The sequence below is a fragment of the Homo sapiens genome, chromosome 16 (genome assembly GCF_000001405.40).
Source record: "Homo sapiens chromosome 16, GRCh38.p14 Primary Assembly".
In the NCBI taxonomy this organism is placed as follows: domain Eukaryota; kingdom Metazoa; phylum Chordata; class Mammalia; order Primates; family Hominidae; genus Homo; species Homo sapiens.
The window spans coordinates 88,979,168-88,988,078 of NC_000016.10; the positions used below are offsets into that span (position 1 = coordinate 88,979,168).

The 8,911-nt window shown below is 58.1% G+C and overlaps 1 long non-coding RNA gene across 1 annotated transcript, besides 3 other annotated features; it reads left to right on the forward strand.

Moving 5' to 3' along the window:
* LOC124903756 (uncharacterized) lies at positions 1,896-3,119 on the forward strand. Its single transcript, XR_007065183.1, has 2 exons — positions 1,896-2,062; positions 2,789-3,119. It is a non-coding gene; the product is annotated as an uncharacterized LOC124903756 (long non-coding RNA).
* Positions 3,005-3,207: a silencer, noted in NCBI's record as "fragment chr16:89048580-89048782 (GRCh37/hg19 assembly coordinates)". NCBI's record gives its function as "represses an EF-1alpha promoter that drives an FKBP-Casp9 reporter gene in an ReSE screen in K562 erythroleukemia cells {active_cell/tissue: K562}" and the evidence as "EXISTENCE:reporter gene assay evidence [ECO:0000049][PMID:32094911]".
* Positions 4,292-4,792: an enhancer, noted in NCBI's record as "H3K4me1 hESC enhancer chr16:89049867-89050367 (GRCh37/hg19 assembly coordinates)". NCBI's record gives its function as "activates a minimal SCP1, AML or CMV promoter by ChIP-STARR-seq in primed H9 embryonic stem cells {active_cell/tissue: H9 hESC(primed)}" and the evidence as "EXISTENCE:reporter gene assay evidence [ECO:0000049][PMID:30033119]".
* Positions 4,498-4,557: an enhancer, noted in NCBI's record as "active region_11385". NCBI's record gives its function as "activates an Ori minimal core promoter by ATAC-STARR-seq in GM12878 lymphoblastoid cells {active_cell/tissue: GM12878}" and the evidence as "EXISTENCE:reporter gene assay evidence [ECO:0000049][PMID:35858748]".

Below are 8,911 nucleotides of genomic sequence, written 5' to 3' on the forward strand. Positions count from 1 at the left end.
GCTGGGCGGCCAGGAGATAAGGGGCTGGGGAGGAAGTGGCTGCAGAGGTGGGGGCAGCAGGAGGGGCCTCGGCTTCTCCCAGGGACCTCTGCTGTCTGCAGCCAGCACCCAGCCTCTCGGGGCAGGAGGGGCCTTTCCTTCCTTCCTAAAAGACCTATTAGGGCCTACTGGGGTTCTTTCGGTGTCCAAGACAGCCCCTGGTCCTGCTCTCTGGGAACTATAGGAGACACGTTCCATCAACATGGCCCAGCATGTGGGGCCCATAGGGCAGTTGGGGAAACTGTCCCTGGGTGGGCAGAGGGGCCCTAAGGCAGGCTTTGGTGAATCTGTAGGATGGCCAGAGAACTGGAGGAGGGTGAGGGGGCAGTGGGGGAGATGACGCCATGTGGGGGTGGGTGAGGAGGCCTTCCTTCAGGCAGGGTGTCTTATGTTTGCCTTCTCTTCTAGCATGTAGGAACCCCCCCACCCCCAACACACACACCCTTCACTGCTGGATGAATAGATGAATGAATAGATTGATGAATGAATGGGTGGGTGGGTGAGTGGATGGGTGGGTAGATGATGGGTGGATGGGTGGGTGGGTGGATGAGTGAATGGGTGGATGGATGGGTGGATAGATGGGTGAGTGGGTGGATAGATGGGTGAGTGAGTGAGTGGGTGGATGGGTGGGTGGATGGATAGATGTGTGGATGGGTGGGTGGATGGATAGATGGGTGAATGGGCGGAAAGATGGGTGAATGGGTGGATGGATGAATGGATAAATGGGTAAATGGGTGGGTGGATGGAGAGATGGGTGAATGGGTGGGTAGGTAGATGGATGGGTGTGTGGGTGAATGAATGGTGGATGGGTGTGTGGGTGGGTGGGTGGATAGATGGGTGAATGTGTGGATGGGTGGATAGACGGGTGAATGGGTGGATGAGTGGATAGATGAGTGAATGGGTGGATGGATGGATGGATGGATAAATGGGTGAATGGGTGGTGGATGGATAGATGGGTGGATGGGTGGGTAGATGGGTGAATGGGTGGATGGGTGGATAGATGGGTGAATAGGTGGAAGGATGGATGGATAAATGGGTGAATGGGTAGGTGGATGGATAGATGGGTGGATGGGTGGATGGATGGAGAGATGGGTGAATGGGTGAGTAGGCGAATGGATAGGTGGGTGGGTGAATGTGTGGATGGATGGGTGGATGGAGAGATGGGTGAATGGGTGGGTAGGTGGATGGATGGGTGTGTGGGTGAATGAATGGTGGATGGGTGTGTGGGTGGGTGGGTGGATAGATGGGTGAATGTGTGGATGGGTGGATAGACGGGTGAATGGGTGGATGAGTGGATAGATGAGTGAATGGGTGGATGGATGGATGGATGGATGGATGGATAAATGGGTGAATGGGTGGTGGATGGAGAGATGGGTGAATGGGTGAGTAGGTGAATGGATCGGTGGGTGGGTGAATGTGTGGATGGATGGGTGGATGAATGGGTGCGTGGATGGGTGGATGGATGAGTGGATCAGTGAATGGGTGGGTAGGGATGGATGGGTGGATAGACAGGTGAATGAGTGGATGGATGGATACATGGGTGGATGGGTGGATAGGTGGATGGATGGGTGGATGGGTGGGTGGATGGGTGAATGGGTGGATGGGTGGATGGATGGGTGGATGGATGGGTGGATAGATGGGTGGATGGGTGAATGGATGGATGGATGGATGGGTGAATAGATGGGTGCATGGGTGAATGGGTGGGTAGGTGGATAGATGGGTGGGTGGGTCAATGTGTGGATGGATGGGTAGAGGGGTGGGTGGATGGGTGGATGGGTGGGTGGGTGGGTGGATGGGTGGATGGGTGGGTGGGTGGATAGGTGGATCAATGAATAAGTGGTAATATGGTTTTATGTAAGTCTCATGCCAGCCCACTTTACAGAGGAGGGAGGAGGCCCACAAGGGTGCCATCCCCAGTCACAAAGCCTGGAGAGAGGAATGTAAGTCGCGAAGCCGCTCCAGAGGATGCTGAACAGTGTCATGTACGGAGGAGCCTTGCCCCGGCTTTCTGGTCCTGAATAAGGTGTGGACAGTTGGGGTGAGCCACAGAGGGAGTGGGGGCCGGGGGTGGAGGCAGGAAAAAACCTGCCCCGGGTGTTCAAGGCAGTGCAGGTGAAGCGGCTCATAGCTGGATGCTCAGCCACTCCCCAGCTCAGGGCACGGCTGAGCAAACCCAGAACCACGGAGAAGGTGCCATGGCCGGAGGGCTGGGGTGATTTGGGGAAACCTGGTACAAAGTGGTGCAGGATTCCAGGGCTCTGAGACTGCAGTTACTGGGCGCTCCTGCCACCCCCAGAAAGAGCAGGTCTACCTGGGGAGTCCGAGCCGAGGCGCAGGCCGGAGACACCCCAATGAGAGCACGGAACTGGAATCGGGGTCTTCACCTTCCCGGTGTGTGGACTCCTTGGGCATCTAGTAAGCAAATAAGTTCACAGAATTATGAAGGAAACCCATTTTACCAAAATACAGCTACCACCCCGTTAGAACATTCTGGTGTAGTGAGCACTGTGCTTTTCATTAAGCCATGATTTAAAGTGGTGAGGCGTGGGAACCGCATTAGGAGACGTGGTGGTGAGTGGAAGGCGAGGGGGGTCTTTTGTGGAGCCCTGGACCCTCCCAAGGCGTGGCTGCTTGGGGCCCACCAAAGTGGCCCTGGGGCAGCTCTATCGGTGTCAACGGCACAGGCGCGGCTGACACCCTGGGGAGGTGCCCACGTTCTTGGTTACAGGAAAGGCTAAATTTTGGTTAGAGACACGACACAATGCCAGATGAAACTCATCCAAGTCCACGGATCCCCTGAATTCCAAGGAAAGAACCGCGGTTCCAGCTTCCCTCGAAGGTGTCCCCCGGTCCCGCTCACCACCTCAGCTTCCAGGAGTCTCCGGTGGGACAGCCGGAACCCCACTGAGGGTCTCGAAGTCACAGGCCCCTGGTTCACACTCAGCATTTCCTGTCTGTGCTGGGTACGCTTGGGCAAATGTCTTGACCCGTTTCCCCAACTGTAAAGTAAGAAGGTAACAGAGTCAGCTGAATGGGGGTGTGGTGAGGATTTAATAAAACCGTCCACGTTTGGACTCTCCTATGGTGCCCGTGAAGGTGGGCAAGCACGGACGGGCAGCTGTGACCCCTGCGAGATCCCTGAGCCGTGAAGGGGCCAGCCCAGGGGGACAGTGGAATCCCCACACCGCCTTCTGGCCATGGCCGCCTCCGGGGCAGGCGCGTTGCTGCTAGAAAGCTCTTCCTAAATTGAGCTCAGGTCGGCATCCCTGCAGATGCGGCCCCTCTCCGGAAGAGTGCTTTGGAAGGGAGAAAGGGCTCTCCCAGCCCCACCGCCGCCCCCTGGAGTCAGCCACAGCCTCCTCCCCCACAGCCTCCTCCCCCACAGCCCTCCCGCCCCCATGGCAAGAGACCTGCTTCAATTGTGATGTGGCTGCCCCGCCCCTCCTCTTAAACCTTCAGTGGCTGCCCACCTCCCTCAAGATCAAGGCCAGACCCTGAAGGTGGCTGGGGGCCCCTCCACACTCTGCCCCAACCCTACATCAGAGCCGCTTCTCCTGAGGGTGTTTCCTCATCTCTGGGCCTTCCCCAGCCCTCCCATCGAAACTTGCCTCACGTGGCGGGCTCCTACCCAGCCCTCAGAGCCCATAGGAAGTGCCCTGTCCTGTCCTGGGCTCCACACCCCCTGCACACCTTCCTGGGTTCCACACCCCCTTCACACCTTCCTGGGCTCCATGCCCCCTGCACGCCTCCATCACAGCATTAGCACCTTGGGTTGCAGTTGCTGTGGGCTGGTTTCCTTGGACCCACAGGAAAGCAGCCCTGGGCGGGAACCTTGCCTGTCTCCAAGGGCTGTGTTCCCGGCACAAGGCGCAGGGCTCCATGGGTGATGACTGGCTGGCGGAGTTTGGCACACCCACCTCTGGGTCCCCCACACGACACCTGGAACTTCTCTAGGCTGAATTCCACCTCTCTCGCCCTCAGGACTCCCCTGGGGCTCTGCCCCACACACATCCCAGGGAACACAGAGGAAATGGCCGGTCTCCCCAGCTGCTTCCGAAGAGCAGGATGGGCTGAGACTCCAGGCCCGGCCGCCCAGCGCAGCCTTGGGACCCTGGGGCAGCCCCCAAGGCCTAGGGGGCTCAGTGGCCTTTGCCCGGACAGGAGGGCCTTCCCCAGCTCATCAGCCACCCCAGGCGGGTAGTGGGTGTGGGACAGAGAGCTGACGGCAGTCAGAGGCCACAGCCCCACAGGACCCGCTGTTCCCTTGGCTGGCATCCTCCTCCCCTCCTGAAGCGCATGGGGCTGAGCCCAGCAGGGTGGAGTCTGAACAGAGACAGGAATTTGAGCATCAGGGCAGCAACAGCGTCGCCCCCGCTTCCTGAGCACCCTGGACTTGCGGGGGACGCTGGTGACCTGGTGGCATATATTCGGTGTCTGACAGGACTGGAGAGGTTAAGCAATTTCCCAGGTCACCAGCGGTGGGATTTGGGACTCAGGCTGGGTCTAAGCCAGTCCTCTCCCTGAGGCAGAGAGCCTGCTGTGGCTACACCCACCCAGCTTCCAGGACACGGAGCCCTCTGCCCACCGTGGTCTCTGCTCCTCCCCAGCGCCCAGGAGGCATCAAGACCCGGCAAGGCTGCCCGTTCTGCAGAACAGGAAACCGAGGCTCCCAGAGGGGAAAGTCCCAGCCTCCCTGGGGGTCCCAGGGTCCTGGGCTGCTGCACCCCAGCTGCAAAGGGGGAAGCCCCGTCCGGAGGCCACTTTCCCTGTAAGGAGCCCAGGCGGGGTGAGGGCTGCGACGTGCCGGTGCCGCCCCGGTTTCCCTCTGACTCAGGCTGAGGCGGCTGCCCCTGTGCTGGTGCCATGTCTAGTCCGCAGGCCCCACACCGGTGACCTGCCCTCATCTCATCTCCTGTGAGTCCGCGAGTCCACGGCTCTGCCGACGGGGGGTGGTGTGTGTGCAGCAGAAGGAATGAACGAGGGAACCCCTGCCCTGTGCTCTTCCTCTCCTCCCCTCCGTCCTGCCTGGGTGTTCACAGCAGCTTAAGAGGGAAGAACGTGGCCCTGGCCTACCCACCAATGTTCTAGAACATTCTGGAACATTCTGTTCTCAGCCCGGAGCCTGGGAACTGGGTAAACCTGGGCCATCGAGCGGCATCCAACATGAGGAAAATACCAAGAGGCTGGTGTGTGGTTCTGTGTGTGTGGCGCGTGGCGCGTGGTGCGTGGGGAGAGGCAGCCGCCCGCCCTCCAGAGCCAGGGTGCCACCTCCTGCGTCATAGACACCTCCCCCAAGCAGTGCCAAGCTCCTGCCTCCCACCAGTGGCTACTTCGGGCTGCAGTGGGGCCTGGGGCCACGGAAGACCCAGCTAGGTCTGGCCAAGAGGCCCAAGGATATTCCAGGCACCCGGAAGGATCCGGAAGGATCTGGGAGTCTTGGGTTAAGAACCATGCAGCCTGACCTGCTCCAAACGTGGACTTCGTCCCTGAAGAGGCTGCAGGACCCTAACCATTCGCGTCCTGGGCGATTGTGAGTGTGATGGACGATCACAGCACTGTTATTGTATCTTAGAGCTGAACTGGAAGACAAACTGGCCTGTATCCAATAAGAAAAAAACTTTGTGTTTTGCTTCCATTATTTATTTTTTCTGAGGCAGGGTCTTGCTCTGTCACCCAGGCTGGAGTGCAGCAGTGCGATCTTGGCTCACCGCAGCCTCCACCCCCTGGGCTCAAGCGAATCTCCTGCATCAGCCTCTTGAATAGCTGGGACCAGAGGCGCCCGCCACCATGCCTGGTTAATTTTTTATGTTTTGTAGAGATGGGGCCTCACTATGTTGCCCAGGCTGGTCTCAAACTCGTGGCTGAAGCGATTCTCCTGTCTCAGCCTCCCAAAGTGCTGGGATGACAGGCATGAGCCACTGCACCCGGCCTCATGGCTTTTTAATAGTTAGGTTTCTATTGACCTTGTTTTCAGACACACACAAGCTTAGAGGATATAACACAGGCTTGTGGATCAAGCACTCTGCTTCACTGAACTTGAAACATTTTAAACATCAGATTCTTTTAAGGCGCCTTTGGGTGCCCTGGCCTAAAACACCCTTCCCACTCTGCCCGTGTTCAGTCCTGACTCCAGACACCGCGGAAAGTGAGAGGGGTCGGGCAGGGGAGTCCAGGGGTTCTCAGAGCGCAGTCCCTGACCCTGCGCCCATGTTCAGTCCCGACTCCAGACACCGAGGAAAGTGAGAGGGGTCTGGGAGGGGAGTCCGAGGGTTCTCAGAGCGCAGTCCCTGACCCTGGGAGCTTGTCAGAAATCCTCACCCACCCAGGATCTGTGCGTGGGGCACCTGGGGCTGTCCTGGGTCTGCTCCGATTGTCCCCGAGGGGATCTGGAGGGACGAGGTTGCCCCGGGGTCTGCTTGGGGACAGGGTGAGCCAGCACTGTGACTCTGTCATTGCAACGGTTGTCTCTCCCCATGGGTGGGTGGAGGGACTTCCCTGAGGCTCTGGGACCTCCCTGGCAGTTCCAGCCACCTGAGCTCGGAGCACATGTCTGTGGTGCTTGGCGTGGGGGTGGGTCCAGGGTCCAGCCCCTTCCTGGCTGTCGCCTGCAGGCCTGACCCGGCTAAGGGGGTCCAACCTGGCCTTATCCGTCTAAGGGGGTCCAACCTGGCCGGCCCGAGAGGGTAGGGCTTCTTGGGAGAAAGCTGAAGGTCATGGAGGAGAAATGGGGGCAGGGAAGACCGTCAGGCTGAAACCCCACATCGGGCAGCTCAGAGGTGGGGGCAGGGAAGACCACCAAGCTGAGTCCCCCCATCAGGCAGCTCAGGGGAGGGGGCTCCATGCTGGGCCCCTGAGCCGCCTCCTGCTGTCACAGCATGAGGTTTATCATTCAGCACCCAGGCAAGCTGGCCCTGCAGGCAGGGGTCCGGCCTCCAACCGCCTTCCGGCTGCCCCACCATGTCCAGGGACCTGCTTCAGCCCTCCAGTCGTGCTTCCTTTCTTCCCTCTGCTCACTCGGCTCCTCCTGGAAGTTCCTTCTCGCTAGCCCCCAGGGGGTTTGGATGCTGGACCCTGGGGAAGGGGCCTTGGGGTCTGTAGCAGGGCATCTGAGGGTCCTGGGACACCCAGAAACCCCAGGAAGGCTGTGGGTGACTCAGCAAACCCACAAGCCGGGGGGTCTCTCAGGCATGTGCTGCAGGGGGGGTATGATGTGGGGTCTGCTCTGAGTGAGGGTCTCGGCCCTTGTCTGCTCCTTGTCCCCCTGTCCCAGCCACAGCCCGCTCCACTCCCAACTCTGCCCACGGCTCACCCCGGGCCTCTCAGACCCTCGCCTCTGGGACCCCCTTGTGAAGATCCGCCTGCCCCCCTACAGCCCCACAGCCCCCATCCTGCTTTGCAGCCCCCTCCCTGCTTTGCTTGTCTTGAATAGCAGGTGGCACTCTCTGATGTGCTGAACGTTGTTTACTGCCTGTCTCTCCCGCTAGGTCAGCTCCAGGGAGATGAGCTTTTTCTTTTTCTTTTTCTTTTTTTTTTTTTTGTTTAAACATATTTTATTTTTTAAAGCAGCTTTAGGTTCACAGCAAAATTGAGCATGAAGTACAGAGGGTTCCCCTGCACCCCTGGGCTCAGCATCCCCACGAGAGTGGCCGTTTGTTACAGCTGAGACCCCCCTGGACACAGCATCATCACCCACAGGCCGCACGACCTCAGGGTCCACCGGGTGCTGTGCAGTCTATGGTTGGACGAACGTATCCTGATGTGGACCCACCGTTGTGGTATCATACAGAGTAGTTTCACTGCCCCAGGTCCCCCGTGTTCCTGCTGCACATCCCTCCGTCCCTCCCTCTCCCCAGCCCCTGGCGTCACTGATCTTTGTGCTGTCTGCACAGTTTTGCCCTTTCCTGGATGTCAGAGTCAGAACCCTACAGTGTGTGGTCTTTGCAGACGGGCTGCTTTCACTCAGCAGCATGCATTTATGGTCCCTCCGTGTCTTTTTCCTTTCTTTTCTTTTCTTTTTGAGACGGTGTCTCGCGCTATCACCCAGCCTGGGGTGCAATGGTGTGATCTCGGTTCAGTGCAACCTCTGCCTCCTGGGTTCAAGCAATTCTCCTGCCTCAGCTTCCCTAGTAGCTGGGATTACAGGAGCACGCCACCACGCCCAACTAATTTTTGTATTTTTAGTAGAGACGGGGGTTTCTCCATGTTGGCCAGGCTGGTCTTGAACTCCTGACCTCAAGTGATCCACCCACCTCAGCTTCCCAAAGTGCAGGGATTATAGGCGTGAGCCGCAGCGCCCGGCCCCTTCGTGTCTTTTCAGGGCCTGGGAGCTCATTTCCTTTCACTCACTGAAGGGCATCTTGGTAGCTTCCATGTCTCAGCATCGGCAATTGTGAATAAGCTGCTTTAACACCGTTGTGCAGGTTTTTGTGTGAACACAAGTTTCCAACTCGTCTGGGTAAATACAAAGAGGTGCATCGTGTAAGATGCTGTCAGCTGCATTTCCTGCTGTAGCCCCAGAGTCCAAACAGCACACGGCAAATGGACACTCAGCAAATCCTGAATTAATACATGAAGAAAGAGGCAGGGCGGCCAGAACAATACACCACGCACAGGGGCTTTGGTGGCAGAAACCAGCTTTCGCACAGTTCTGGAGGCTGGAGGTCGAGACCAAGTTGTTGATGAGCTTGGCTTCTTCCAGGCCTGTGTCCTTGTCTTTGCTGACAGCTGCCTCCGTGCGTGGCCTTGTCCACGTGCACGCACCCTTGGCGGCTCTGTAAGTCCAACTTTTGTTTTCTCTTTTCTTTTCCTTCCTTCCCTTTCTTTCTTTCTTTCTTTCTTTCTTTCTTTCTTTCTTTCTTTCTTTCTTTCTTTC